The sequence below is a fragment of the Homo sapiens genome, chromosome 3 (genome assembly GCF_000001405.40).
Source record: "Homo sapiens chromosome 3, GRCh38.p14 Primary Assembly".
NCBI classification, from domain to species: domain Eukaryota; kingdom Metazoa; phylum Chordata; class Mammalia; order Primates; family Hominidae; genus Homo; species Homo sapiens.
In genome coordinates, this window is record NC_000003.12 from 81,531,267 (window position 1) to 81,547,508 (window position 16,242).

At 36.6% G+C, this 16,242-nt stretch overlaps 1 protein-coding gene across 2 annotated transcripts in view; it reads right to left on the reverse strand.

Moving 5' to 3' along the window:
- The window catches only part of GBE1 (1,4-alpha-glucan branching enzyme 1), a 271,943-nt gene that overhangs the window by 41,564 nt on the left and 214,137 nt on the right, over positions 1-16,242 (reverse strand). Inside the window, exons 13-14 of one of the 2 annotated variants that reach the window (XR_007095662.1) lie at positions 5,645-5,829; positions 2,300-4,059 (exon numbers count right to left, since the gene is read on the reverse strand). Coding sequence is in view for 1 of the 2 variants with exons in the window: in NM_000158.4 (NP_000149.4) it covers positions 3,929-4,059; positions 5,645-5,829 (316 nt within the window). In the remaining variant the exon portion in view is untranslated. The remainder of the gene's footprint in view (positions 1-2,299; positions 4,060-5,644; positions 5,830-16,242) is intronic. The other variant, NM_000158.4, reaches the window with a different exon arrangement.

A 16,242-nucleotide genomic window follows, 5' to 3' on the forward strand; every position in this document is an offset into this window, starting at 1 on the left:
GGAGCTAAGGCCTAAAACTGGAGGCTTTAGGAGTCTGCTTGGTGTTTTCTTTTACTGTGGCTGAGCTGATCCCCAAGTTGCAAGATAAAGCCCTTTTCACTCTTCCCTCTCCTTTCCTCAGGCAGGAGTCTCTTCCCATGGCCAACACATCTGGGAATGTGCCGGGTCACATCTGAAGCCAACATGGTTCTGGGTCTCATCAAAGGCCTGTGGCAATTGCTACTTGGCTACTGTTGATGTTTACTCAAGGTCCAAGTGTTCCTCCGTCATTAATTAAAGAATCCTGCCAGGACTGAGTTCTTCCCTTCAGGGAAGCAAGTTCCCTTAAGGCATAGGGTGGGTCTAGAAATGTCTTCTGAGAGCTGGAGCCTGAAATAGGGGCTTCAGATCTCTGCTTGGTGTTTTATTTTACTGTGGCTGAGCTGGTATCCGAGTTATAAGAAAAAGTCCTCTTTACTCTTCCCTCTCCTTTCTTGTGTACCCCATGTCCACTGGCTCTAAGCCCAGTACAACACCAGGACTTGCTTAGGAACTGCAGTCCTTGTGGTCTAGACTTTCAAATTTATCTGGAACCCCAGGGTACTTTAGTGTGCAGTGTTGGGTCTAGCTGGAACTCAGGTTCCAAATGCTGGGACAGCAGAAAATATCCCTCTGCCTAGGGCTGGTCTAATGGCTCTCTTTGCGGGTGCTGGCTGAATTCTGCCCATGTTACCTTCTGCTGTGACAGGGCAGCAATGAGTTCCAATGCAAAGTCCCACAGTCACTGTGTTTTCCCTCCCCTAAGCAAACAGATTCTCTTCTTCCATGTGCCATGTGGTGCTGCCAAGGGGTGGGGGAGGGTTGGTATAGGGAATTCAAGACTGTCTTTCTTACCCTCTTCTGTGCCTCTTTGCTTGAAATAATGTTAAAATGAGGTACTATGATTGCTGACCTGATTTTTGGTTCTTATGAATGTACTTTCTTGTGTGGATAATTGTTCAATTTGGTGTTCCTGTAGGGAGGACAATGGCTGGAGAGTTCTATTCAACCATCTTGCACGAATTTATATTTTCTACTCCCGCAACTGGCTGCCTCTCCTGGCTTTGCTATCCTCAGGAATAATACCACCAGCATACTTTCTATTGTTCAAAGTGAAACCTTACATTTTCCCTTCTATACTCCATGTTCAAACAGATTCTGAGTTCCTTCACTATAAGAAAGGGTTTCGTATACTTTTTCTATTCTATTGACATTACTTTAGTTCATGCCCTAATTATCTTTTAGGTGTACTGCAATTTCTCATAATTAATATCTGTACTTCCAATCTCTTTCCTCATGAAAGCTCCCTTACACACTGGTACATGAGAACTTTTACTAAAGCCTACATTCTTATCAAGTAGCTCCCTAGTCAAAAACCTGCAGCAACTCACTATAAAATCATAGAAAAAAGACTAATTAATATGGCATTAAAATCTTCTATTATGTGATCTCCATCTGTTTTCAGCTTTATCTCTTAATACTTCTTTCTATAGTCATCATTCTCCAATTAATCCATTGTACTGTCCATTATCTAAGAATAGTCTACGATTTCTAATAGCTGAAATGGCTTTCTTCATTTGTTCCTGCTATAATCTTGTCCATTTCCCAAGTCTAGGCTTAAAAGTCTTTGTCTTAATCTCGTTATCTCTCCCCTCCTCCCCTGCCACTTATTTTTTCATTTTTCTTGTCCTCTGTTCTCCCATGGAACATTCTTGCTCCTTGTTCCTTTTCCATTTATTGCATTAAGACTTACGTCGCAGTTTGGGTTTTATACATCTCTTTCCCTCCACTTAAGGGTCAAGGAAAGCGCTGCAAAGATATAACAAAGATTGAAGTAGATACTAGTATTCTGTAAATGTATTTTGGTTTGATTATATTGCACTACCAAGTATAGAAGGGTTTAGTCTAGGAGCATTACTTTAGCACTCTGGAGGTGAGAAGGATCACGCACAAATTGCTACATGTCTAGTATTTGTTTGGATTTCCTCATGGAAATGAAGAGGACATTTGTTTCCCAGAATAGTACTGTACTTCTTTAGTGTAGATAACCCATCACATTGATTTATCTGTAGGCATAAAGAGACAGACAACACAGCGCATTCTGTGGGTTAACTGGAGCACATTTGTGCTATCAGTCACAACTACAGCCTCCTCTCCTAGATGCTCTGATGTTATGTGGAACAGTGATTGGCTGGGTGGGAAGAAAGTAGGGAACCATCTCTCTTTGCCCTCAATGTCACTGAGCAGCATGGGGTGGTGACAGATGCTGCAGGCTACTTACTAAAAAGCACTGTCTGTTTTCTTCTTACTGTCAGAGTAAAATTCTGTCTGGGTGTCCACTTCATCAAGGGATGTCTTCCTGAGACTCAGGGGTAATTCCTGATTAAGCCACTCATGTTAATATCATTCTTCTTCCTAGAAAATTTTTCTGGGAGATGTGAGACCCAACTCTGGTCAATAAAATATGAAAGAAATTTTGCTAAAGAAGTAAGTTTATTCTTGAAGAGATGCACAAAAAAATCTGTTTGCATTTTGTTGTATCTGAAGGTGGGTGACACTTGGAGTCATGGCTCTTATCTAATGATTAGTAACAGGTGCCACCATTTGGACATTGCTGGCACCCTGAGAATTGAAAGCAAAAAGAATGAACTGGGGAACTTGATACTGTCACAAGTGCTGGGGAAACTAGACGTTAGGGTTTTTATTATGTGACAAATACATTTTCCTTATTATTTGAGCCAGCTGAGTAGGAGGGTTTCTTTATTGTAGCTGGAGCCACCCTGACACATAGGACTTCATGTTGGCATCAGGCACCTTGCTCAGGTGGCAGATGCTAATCATTGTTAGGGCTTCAGGGGGCAAGCACATTATTTCTATTGCCTGCTTGAAAAATTGTGCTGATTTATTGCTAGGTCCTGAATCTGTCATTTTTTTCATGGATCTAGTAACATGTCTTTAAAATGTACTGTACATTTCCTTTGTAATAATTATCAAACTTACAATGCCTAATATTTATCTTCTTTACTAGTTTAAAAGCTCTATGACGGCAGTGACTGTATCTGCTAGGAGAATTCCTATATTTACAGTAATCAGCTCAGAGCTGTCACAGAGGTGTTCAGTAAATAGGTACTCAGTAAGTATCTATAAGGTGTTCAGTAAATAGGTACTCAGTAAGTATCTGTAAAATGCATGAAAAAAGGAGTAAATGAATACATAGAGAACATCAAAAACATTCTCCCTGGTTATTTCTACTGCTCACACCTCCCCTGCCTTGCCTTCTTACCAATTCAGGCCTACAAAGGTATGCTGTGTCTTGAATTTTAGGAGAAGAAACAGAAAAAGGAAGGACACTATCATTACAACTACTGTTTGCTCTCTCCCACTGAGTGGAGGAAAAGAAACAAGTCTCAGAGGTAACTTACAAAATATTTTCATAGAGTAAAACTACAATCGTCTCCCATATTGCTGCTCTAAATATTATTTAAGAAATATTATTTAAGAAATATTCAGTTATACTTTTTAAAGCCTGGTCCCCTAAGTCCAGAGCCTCTGCTATTATCTCAGAAGACTTCATTTATTGTCTTCTGTATTGGTGGATGTGGGGACCTGGAGAGCAGGGCTCCATAGTGAAACCTTCAGGACAGCAAGATCCACAGCTCTTTCCTTTGATGTGAACCACGTCTGCACTAACCCCTCTGTTTAAACCCAAAATGAAGCTTAGGAATAATTCAGTATAACTGAGTCGAGCAAAGATTTATCCATCAACTATTTTAAGTTCCTCATTTTTCAGATGAGGAAAATGAATGTTTCTGTCATCAAGATCAACCTTAGTCTTTTTTTTTTTTTTGTCCTATAATGTAATAAAGAAGTGAATGTGGACAGTCATATTCACTGGTAACAAAAAGGATATTTCCCTGGCAATGCTGTTCCAACTCGGTAGTCAGTGTAGCTCTTGCTTGGATGGAAGTTGAAAATGAAAAGAAGACCTGCTCTTTCAAAAGCAATGATCTTATTGCCTTCATGTTTTTCACTCACGTAGGCCTGCAAGAATTAGCACACATGTTACATTTAAATAATACCTAGATGCTGCTACAAGTACATTATTTTTTGTCTTTCTTAATAGTCTGGTTATTAAACCAAAAATGAGTATTTCAGAACACTATATTTTTTTGAACATGTTACAATTTTGCTGTACCTAACTGTGAGCCAAGAACAGTCTCAAAAATTGTTTAGTGGAGTATACAAAGCTCACCAGCCACTTGCTACCCTCATAGCACAAATAGAGAAACAGTGTTGTGGCTCAGGTTTTAAGTAAAACCATGGTACCTATACATACTACAAAGTGTTCGTTTGTATATATTAGATCTACTTATAAGTGAATTTTCTGTAAGACTTTTAGTCTCCAGCTTAATGCGGTTAGGTACATAAAATTACTTTTCAAAATTTAATGTAACATTTTTATTTTAATGTAGTTTCTGAAATTACAGTTCTCTTAAACATTTTACATTTTTACCCAACTTTGTCAGATTCAATGGCAACCTAAAGTCAATTACAATACTTTTTTTTCTTAATAAAAAGATAAGGTCTGAAAAGAAATTACATCTGTAAACTCTCTTCTTTTCTTCATCATCATGTATTTACAGTTGGCTGTGAAAAGCCTTGGCTTTTTCAACACCACCCTCACTCAGCCCCAGCTTTGAGAGGACTTATTGCCATGCATACCCGCAGCACCACTCTTGGTAATTTAGAAATGTGAACTACAGCTCTAGAGTAAACAGGGTGCCTTTTGGTATTCAACGTTGTTCCTATTGAAAAGGAGCATCATTTTGCTCTCTCTTCTGGAAATAGCATTACTAATAAACGTGATTAGGGCATTCGTGTCATGGAACAAATCTTACTGAATATATAAATACCTTTGTTCAGCCATTAAAAAAAAAAGAATCATAGACACCAAAGTAAAAACACATCAACAGTAATTTCAAACAGCCCCAGTATAAAGTAAATGGATTATAACGAAGACATATTATATGTTAACTTTTGCCAGGAAAAAAGAAGCCTGTATAAAATTTTCACTTGTTAATTACATTTTCTAAAATTTGTTGAAAACTGAGACATTAATTCCAGAGGACAGACAGGCTCATGAAAAATACAAAACAGCATGCAGGTATAATGGCATCTATTGAAATGACAAGTTAGAGGCCACTAAAGAAGAGAAAAAAAAATGAATAAAGAAATTTACATGTTGTCAAAGTAGTTTCTTTATGACAGCATAATTATTTACATAAAAAAGTGTTCCAAACAATTAAGATGTTTCCACAGCAATTTCCAAAATGGGTTCCCTGCAGAGCTTTTATTGTTTATTTTAACCAATAAAAATACAAATTACTAAATTTAAACAGTAACAAACAAACCAGGAAACTAAGCAGGGCATTATGTTTAAGATTTTCATTATCAATTGAAGAGACTTCAGTGACATGTTTTGACAACCTGAAGTATGGTACAGGACACTAGACACTGAATAATAAATTGCTGTTTAAAAGATCTGCATAGAGATTTAAATTGGTTGCCATTCTAGGCATGTACCTCATTGGTGACTAAAACACAGCATCCAGAGTGAAGAGCTTACCTGTGGAGCTGCAAGCCAACCATATCTTTCTTCCAATCTATTCATATCCCTGTCAAAATTATTTAGGAACTTGTAGCGAAGAAGGTCGTCGTCAGTTAAATGAAACTGCCGCCTGGCATAATGGTAACTCTCATTATTTCCTTTTCTTGGGAAGTCTAACCATTCAGGATGCCCAAATTCATTACCTGCATTACAAAACACATGCAAATATCAGCCTATTAATATTAGAATTTCTTACTAATAATAAATCAATAATTATATGTTTTTAATGTTTTTTAAATTTAGTTTAGGCTATCATTTACTAGACCTGTGTCCTGTGAATGATGTACAGGTGTAGCTCAAAAATAGCACGGTCTAGCACAGGAAGTACCACCTTTGGACTCAGAAGCCCAGGGTCCAGCTTCAGTTTGGCTGCTCATTACTTGTTGCACATCTTGGTTTCCTCAAGCACAAACTGAAGACAATTATCAATGTCATACTTATTTCATTTCTGAAATAATCTCTGCGATCTCAGAGTAATTTCTGAAATATCTATTTCTATAATCTCTGAAATCTGTACAATTCTTGACAATTTCCAAAGGCTTTGTATGTAGGTTATTTTTTGATCCTCAAAGGAACTCTCTATTATATTCATTTCACAGATGAGAAATCCAAAGCTCTGGCCAGTTAAGAGACTTGCCCAACTTCACATAGTGGGAAAGCAACCATTAAAATTGAGTTCCTCTCATTAAAATCCAGTTTTTCCTACCACATCACATTAGGCAAATATCTTGTAAACTTCAGGTGCTAAGGAAACTCAGGTCATTACTTTTATTATGAATTTTCCGTATTTCTTTTTCAGATCTATTTTTTACTACTAGAGTGTGTACCTTTCATTTCAAGTGTGCCTGCATGCTTATGCTTATTCTTCTGTGTGTTTAGCTGAGACCCCTGGCTGGGGATCTATATAATATTATCTCTCACTATAATGATCAGAACCAGAAACCCAATAAACTTAAAAATAAAATAAAACAGTAACAAATACATAGTTTCCATTTTGAGAATCAATTTTAGATATTAGTCATCTAACCGATTGGTTTTTATTGTTACCCTTAAGTTCAATTTCTACTTTAAGCCTTCTTTTCTTTCCCTAAAAATTAAATGCTACTTTCCAAACTTTTCTTTCATGTGCTACAATTAATTATTGCTGTGATTTTCTAATTAGTGCTACAAATTTCTAATTAATGCCGCAAATTTCTAATTAATTTTATAAATTTCTCCAATGAGTTAGAAAGTATCATAGCCAATACAAACGTATCCTACTTCAAATACACTGCATATTAATATTATAATAAATAAAAACTAATAAGCTAGGATGTAATTCAAAATAATTTACTGCAGAGGTGCTTTAAATAGTGAACTTTATGCTAAGAAATTCTGCAACTTACATTTAACTTTTCAGGACCACATTCATCCAAATAAAAATATCATCCAAATAAATAGGTGTATAGCAGTTTCTTAAAAATTAATAAGTGTCTACAAACATTTTGCTCAATTCAAATTTCAGTCTAAATGATAATATTTCTTATGATGTTGTCCACAGTGTGTCATAGCAGAGAGCCGACTTTATGAGGCTATATTAGGATGCTTTAAATTGACACAAGGAATGTCCCTCTGCTATATTTAAAGGTCCTGTCTAGGTCTAAAGTCTGATTCACATCAGCCCAAGGTATACCGATGGCACAGCTTACTCCTTCAACCATGAAACTAGCAAAATAATGTACCTGCAGAATTGCAATTGGAGCAATCTTTACTGATAATGAAGGGATTTCCAGTCTGGGAACAAGTATATGTCCACATACCAATCCAAGGACTAGCGGGATTTTAACTAGTGGATGATTTACAAGAGACTAGAAATGCCATGAGGTAGCGATAGTATATTAGCCTACAAACTGGATCCAGGCTTCCCATAGGCAAAATACTTTTCTTCTGGGACAGCCGTGGATCTCTGGGTTGATCCCAGTATTAATAAACAATTCCTTTAGCCCTCTTCCATGGAGACTGTCACATCATTGTCATCACGATGACAGTAGAAGCAGCAGCACATGCTTAATTTCTGTTTATTATGTGCCAGGCACGATTGTAGGCATTGCACATGAATTAACCCTATCTTCCACAATTGTCTAAGGTAGGTAATATCATTATTTCAATTTTACAGATAAGGAAACTGAGGCACAAAGATGTTACACAGTAATTAAGGAGTTGGGCCTGTGAACCCAGTTAGTCTGGTTTCAGCCCCCTGACTCTTAATTACTACCATAGCATGTTGTGCACAAGTAAATTCTATGGAAATACAGGGCTAAGAATGACCAACTTCTCATACCTGGACAGAGATTCCAGGTATGTATCAGATGCACAAATGCATCAGAGTGAGAAAGTGAGATGTAGTAAAAAGTTCAGTTTAGCCACAAAATAAGACTTGTGGTAAGGAGATAAAGCAGGATCATTAGGATGAACCGTATACATTTTGTACCTTATATTGCAGGCATTAGGGAATCAAAGGCTATTTTAAAGTAGGGAAATGAGAATTCCAAATGTGTTTATTATTAAAATATCTCTGGTACCATGTGGAAAAAAGACTGGATATCAGGGAAAGTTGAATGATAGGAAAACTGGTATGGAATCCAATGTATAACAGATGATGAGATTCTGTGGAAACACAGAAAAGAATGATCGATTCAAATGGCATTTCTGAGATGGAAATAACAAGATTTGATGACAGACTGACTGAATGGCGACAGTGAGGAAAAGGAAAGTCGGAATGCAATTTTGAAGTTTTGAGTTCAGAAGGCTGAGTAGTGACAGTGTTAACTACACTAGAGGAAAACGGTGACAGAAAGTTTGGGGTAAGAAGATAATGAGTTCAATTTTAGGCCTGCTAAATTTAAGACACGAAGGAAACATCAGCATCTGTAGATTTAGAAGAACGATAAAAATAAGGTACTGAAACTCAAGAGAGAATTGTAGGTGGGGAGAAAGAGTAATTTATAAAGCCTCAATAAGCAAAGATAATGAGAGCCACCAGAGAAAAAACGCCATGGCCAGCATACCAAGGAACTGAAGGCAGAAAGAAGCCATGTTAGGGAAGACTGAGAGCAATGGTTAGCAGGGTAAAGGGGACATTAGAAGAAAACATAGAAGGCTAAGAAAAGTCCCAAGGATGGTGGTCAGTAGCATTAAATGCTACCGAAAAATAAAATCATAAATAAGAACTTGCTACATGATCTCCCCTCTGATGCAGAAATAAGATGGTGTAAAGCTATGCTTTTCAATCTATATTACATTCCAGAATCACCAAGGAAGGCTGTTAAAAATGTTCACCCCTACCCTCAATGATATGGATACATTACTTCTGGAGTGATTAGTAGGCTGGAATCTACAGTTTATCAACTTCTCCATAATATTTTAAAAGTAGTCAGTTAGACAACATGATGCCCATGGATACAGATTTCCAAGTTAGCAAGACTTGGGTTTAAATCACAGCTATGCCACTTATAAGTGATGTGAATATAGGCAATTTAATCTCTCTAGTGCTTGGTTTCCTCATCTGTAAAATCATCATTCTGAGGAGAGAACCAGCTGCCCATACAGGTAACAAGGATGAATCCAAAGGGTTGCTAGCTATTTGGCTCTTGTTCATACAGGTTTTCATGGAATGGCCTTATTCCTTTCTTTAAAGTGCTGAAGTTCTGCACAGATGCATTTATTCATATTTTAATAATACAAACATATATCCCAAAGCCAAGTATTAATGTGCTTTGAATCATCTACTGTTTTAGATCTTAAAAGACAGAATTGAAAATGAAAATAATGTTGTTACAAGACACAGACTGATTGGGTAAATCAGATTACTATGTTAGGAATCCTATATCCACCCTCATGAAAGCCTCACTATTCTACATGTTCACCTTGCAAAGCCTCTGAATAAGCTCTCAAAGGTTATTTGTAGTTTAACTGACAGTTGATTATATACCACTTAAAATTAACATTTTAGGCACTATCTAAAAGTAGAGTTCTGCTCTGGCTAGAACACTCCTGGCACCTGATGACCTCCCCAACTCCCATTTCTTCCTAGCCTGCTTGAAAATGTGACCTGAGGTCACGCTGTTGCTGCTTGCTATCTTTACCAACTGCCTTGGGTAGATTAATGAGGTGAAAACAACAAATTCATTTTCACTGTATAGTTTTGCTTGCTGTTAGTATCTTGACTTTGTAGTGGAGTTTTCAATAGTACAGAAATGAATGGTGAGTTTGACTAAAACTATCAGAGGACGATATTAACTCATCGCACAATCTGATTAAAAGCTAAGTAACTGCTCCCCAGGAAAACACATACACACACACACAAACACACACCCACCCCACGATACAGCCTCAGAGGGTTCATGGACTCCATAAAAATGTGAAATTACATTATTATCATTTATTTCTAACATTCCAGTGTGAAAAATTCACATGCTTATAATCTACAGCATAAATAATGGTGATGGGCTGCAAGTTGCCCCCCCCGCCACCTCGCCCAAATTCATATGTTGAAATATTAACTCTTAATGTGGTGGTATTTAGGTGATGGGGCTTTGGGAGGTGATTAGTTCAGGAGGGTTGAGCCCTCATGAACAGGATTAATGTTGTTATAAAACAGGCCCCAGAGAGCTGCCTTGTTTCTTCTGCTGTGGAGGATACAGTGAGAAGACAGCCATCTGTGAACCAGGAAATAGGGCATCACCAGATATCAAATCTGCCAGTGCCTCGATCTAGGACTTCCCAGCATCCAGACTATGAGAAATAGTTTTTGTTGTTTAAGCCACCCAGTCTATGGTGGTTTGTTATAGCAGGACAAACAGGCTAAGATAATAAGGACTGAAGAGTAGCATAATTACAATTAAATAGGTAAGGCATGTAAATTATTTAGAAGCATATACGATACATAGTATGTGCTTAATAAATATTGACTTCTATTACAATGTTTTATTTTTATTTTATTTATTAATTTATTAAGTAATCCACTCATAGAAATATTTTTAAAAATCACAATTACACACACAGATGTTACAAAATAATCTGTTTTTCTTTTGATAAACATTGTATTTATTTTTGTCTATATCCACATCTGTATATTTATATCTATATCTATATTGATACCTATACATACATTCATACCTATCTACCAACTACCTACAACTTGTTTTTGAACAAAGATAGACTTGCATTATATATTATTTTGAAATTTAAAATGAGCATTTTGCATATCAATAGGTATGCATCTCCATGATGGTATTCCATTGTGGACCATGTAATGAAATTTTATTTAACCAATCACCTTAAGTTGGTAATTTTGACTTTTTCTAATATTTCTGTGTTATAAAAAATCACCAGTCTTTTATATGTATCTTTGTACACCTGTCTGATATTTCCCTAACATAAACTGAATAAATATAATATCTGCTCAAAGGTAAACAGCAGATATTCTAGGATCAAACATTTCCCAAGTTTTGAACACTGCTCATGATTCGAAGATACAGGCACAAGTTAGTAGATTCTCCTGAAAATAATTTTCAACACACAAATTATATTTCTTAATGTATATGTTTAGGATTCTACTTTAAAAGTATTTTTCATCATGTATATTTAATGTTTCATTTTAGTGCCCTCTAAGATACATCAATTTAAAATATTTGTCATTTCAATACCATATAATGGTATTGAAAAATTAGTAAGCATTAAGAAAAAATTCATCTGGGGACTACTAGAGGCAGGAGAGAGAAAGCAGGGAGGGCTGAAAAACAACCTATTGGGTACTATGTTCACCACCTGGGTGACAGACATTCACACCCCAAACCTCAGTGTCATGCAATATATCCACATAACAAACTGCCCATGTACCCCATGCATCTAAAATAAAAGTTGAAATTATTTTTAAAAAGTAACTAATTTTTAAATGGAGAAATTTAATTACATGAGGTTAATTTCAGTACTTAGAAAAATCTGAGAAAAAGAAAAAAGCACACAAAATATTTGGTAATATTTGGTAATGTAACTCAATTTAAGATTTTGTTTATATTTTAACTTTTATTTCATTTATCTTTTTAAAGTATAAATTCACTACTTTAAGAGCATCTCAAGAAGCATATTCATATAATATGTAATATGAAATTAAATTTCTAAGTTAGAAAATAGAACTTTAATTTAAAAAATTCAAAATACGGTAATGATTCTATTTTATTAGAAAATCATTTATTAATCTCTATTAGACATTTAGATTTTCTGAAAATGTTCCTTCAGAGAGGCCTCTTTTTAGACTGAAAAATATAGAAAGTTGCATACAACAAAGAGAGACAGAAAAATTGTATCAGTGATTGTAGACAAAACATTCTACAGGGTGGCTCTGAATGTTTTCTCTGTTGTAAACGAGCTGACAAGGGGCAAATTAAGTTTAATGTAGACAAACGCAACATTAAATTTCATATTTGGTTCAAAACCATAAACACAAGCATAAAATAAATGGAAGCAAATCACAGAAAGACTTTCAAAGTGACCTTGGGATAATAGTGAACCATTCTTAAGGCCTGAGAGAGAAAACTGGAAAATGCCTGTTAGTATCTTCCACTAGCTCAAAGCTCACAAACCTAATGAAGAAAAATATTATCATTAAAACAAGTTAAGAATGTCCTTCTCAGCTATGGGCTACAAATTACTTAGGATATATGGCAGTAATTCAGACAGTACAGTGAAATATGGTGACCCAAATGAGCCTATAAGTAAGGGTGCTGTGTATAAGGGCTACTGTGTATAAAAATGGATCAGAAATCTAAATTTATTCAGGTGATGGCAAATAATATAATTGATTTATTTTAGCATAGATGACTTGACAGAATGCAAACAATATGATCTGAATCAGCATTTGAATTTAAGCAATATGTATATTCCTAAATTATATATGAATATGATAGGTACACATATGTACATAATACATTTATATGTTCCTCAATGAATGCAACAGGTGTTCACAACTTGGGGCTCATGCATTTCTAATGATTTTCTAATATTTCATGCAAAATGTTGTATGTATGTTCACATGCATTTTTCAGAGGAGAGAAATGTGTTCTTTGGATTCTCCAGGCATCCAAAGATTAACTGTATTTGTGAAAGAACCATTCACTATATTAGAATGCCAGCAACTAGAAGAATGGGTCACAAGTAAGGGCTTTTAAGCAAAATAAAAAAGAAAAGTAGAAAGCTAAGTTAAAGGAAGCATTTTTAAAACCTTTGGCTGGTTTATTCAACAGATAAGAGGCTTAGAAAAGTCACATTTAAACTAACTGTAGCGCACAGAGGCAATGACTGTGACAGTTAAGAACAATAGTTCTGAGTCCAAAATACGTATTACAAGTAATCTGGCACTAACCATCAAAGCATGATCGTTCTGCTCATTAAATTATGATTATGATCAGTAGTGTAATAGATAGAATGTTCCTCGATTCAAAATGAAGAGAGGATAATCATTTTTTGAGCCATCGCTTGGGACCCTTTCTAAGAGAATTCAGAATTCATGGTATGATTCATTGCATTCAATATAGTAACAGAACTGGGTGCTTCTAGAAATGAGAAATCTGAAAACTTTGGCTAAACCTTAAAACAAAATCACGGAAGCCCGTAACTAACATTGCTATAGTTAATGATTCTAAAAAAGTCTACCAAGTTCCTTCTCTCTAGTTCCATTTCCTCCTTACACAGCCCCATTCATGTCTGGTTAATTGTGAAAAACCTCTAAGAGCAAAATTCCAATTGGGACTCCTTCTCCTGTAATTAATTTTTTTGCTGTTTGATGTAAAGGTCCAAACTATAACTTGACAAGAAGCCAGCTGGTACAGTGATGAAATTCAAGGCAATATAACTAATAAAAAAGCCCCAGCTCTGTTGGCTGAACATTTTGATTAGCAGGTTTGTGTATTTTTTTTCTGTAAACTGTAATGCATACTAATTTTACCTAGGAATTAATTAAAGTATATCAAAACCTCCATGCTGTGGATTTTACATAATTTGTTATTGTTCCCCAGTTTACATGTATATAAAAATAATGTATAGTCCTAATGAGAATATAAAAACGTTAGCGCCTACTCCTCTTTCCTGTACTAAAGACTAACTTTTAAAAGAAAATATCTACATTAAAATGAAATTCTTTGGCTTTTCTCTGGTATTGCAGTGAGTACTTAACTCACCAAAGTGTGAGGCACAGCACAAAGCAATTTTTTAAACCAGGGCCTGTGATTTTTCTTTAAAAAAAAAATAAACTTGTAATCACTGCCCCTGCTGCCTTTGATACTAATCAGTGTGGTTATGGGAAGGGGCCACATCTAATGTTTCTCTGTCATTCTCCACAGCAAGCTCCAGTGCACTGTACCTGAAACAGTCTCCTTAAATATTTGTTAAGATTTGACGTTTTCCTCTATAATTATTAAATGTCCAACATAATTTCTCTGGAGGTACAGAAGCAAAATATAGTGATCAGATCCAGAAGATGAGAGAAAGGATGACATGCTAGATGAGGCCAACAAAACAGAACTCAGTGCTCAAGAGAACAGGATTTATCATTACAGTCTATCACAGCCTCCCTTTTGCCTCCAGACTGTAAATGGTATGTAATTCTTTGTTGATATCAAGCATATGTGTGTGTGTGTGTGTGTGTGTATGTGTGTGCATGCCAGTTGTATTCCACCAGTCCACTCTTTTCCATGGTTTCACTTTCCATGGTTTCAGTTACCCATGGTCAACTGTGGCCTGAAAATATTAAATGGAAAATTCCAGATATAATTCATAAGTTTTAATGCATGCCCTTCAGTGTAGCATGATGAAATCTTGTGACGTCCTCCTGCATCCCACTCCAGATGTGAATCATCACTTTGCCCAGCATCTCTGCACTATCCACTACCTGCTCATTAGTCACTTAATGGCCATCTCAGTTACCAAACGGACTGCCATGGTATTGCTGTGCTTGTGTTCAAGTCACCTTTATGTTATTTTGAATGGCTCCAAAGCACAAGTAGTGATACTGGCATACTGTTATAATAGTTCTATGTTATTATGCAGTATTGTTGTTAATCTCTTACTCTGCATAATTTATAAATTAAACTTTATTATAGTTATATATGTAAAGGAAAAAAAACAGTGTATACATGGTTCAGTACAACATGAAGTTTCAGGCATCCACTGAAGAACATACCCCAGTGGAAAAGTAGAAACCACTGTACATGCACACACACACACAAACTCACACACACACACACAAACTCACACACACACTAACTCACACACACTCTCACTTTAAATACACACACCTGTACACACTCATATTATAGGCAACAGTCCTGATGAGAATATTAAAAACAAAAAACAAACACCTAACTCCCATTCCTCATAACTGTACCAGGTTTGTCAGGGGTGTCTGAACCACAGCAACTCCATCTTGAAGAGGGGCTGGGTAAAATAAGGATGAGACCTACTGGGCTGCATTCCCAGATGCTTAGGCATTCTAAGTCACAGAATGAAATAGGAGGTTGGCACAAGACACAGGCCATAAAGACCTTGCTGATAAAACAGATTGCAGTAAAGAAGCCAGCTAAAACCCACCAAAACCAACATGGTAATGAGAGTGACCTCTGGTCTTTCTCACTGCTATACTCCCACCAGTGCCACAACAGTTTACAAATGCCATGGCAACATCAGGAAGTTACCCTCTATGGTCTAAAAGTGGGAGGCATGAATAATCCACCCCTTGTTTAGCATATAATCAAGAAAATAACCATAAAAATGAACAACCAGCAGCCCTTGGGGCTGCTCTGTCTATGGAGTAGCTATTCGTTCATTCCTCTACTTTCTTAATAAACTTGCTTTCACTTTACTCTATGGACTCTCCCTGAATTCTTTCTTGCCTGAGATCCAAAAACCCTCTCTTAGGGTCTGGATCAGGACCCCTTTCCGGTAACATCTTTCCGGCCACCATGGAAGGAACAATACTAAGGAAACTCCTGACCCAAAGACTAACTTTGGGTAAGTGCTGGGGTCCAGTAACATCTTTCTGGCAGACCATGGAAGAAATGAAACTAAAGAGACCCCCAACCCAAAGGAAAATCACCTGCATGTACCAATTGGCGAACTTTCGGCACGTGGGGTGCATATACCCGAGTGAAGAGTGGGATTGCATTAGACGCCCAATTTAAGGGAGGCAGAGTCTCTCCTAAGACAGATTTAAAGGCTCCTCTCAGAAAAAGGCAAGGACGCTTGACTGAACTTGGGTTCGAGGCCCAACTTAGGAATGTTAGAGTCCTTTATAAGATTTAGGGGGTTAGTGGACCCTCTTAGTAAAGTCCTCGGATAAGAACGGGTTCAGCACTATGGGATGTTAACTGCTATGCTCTTTGGAGTAATCTGCTTTGCAGTCTTTGCTGACAGTTGCAGGTGACAGAATTACACAAGTAAAGGACCATGGGAAATGGGGAGCTTTTTCCTCCCTCAAAGGGGAAATTCGATAATTTTCCTCTTTGTTGCAGCTTGGCAGCCAG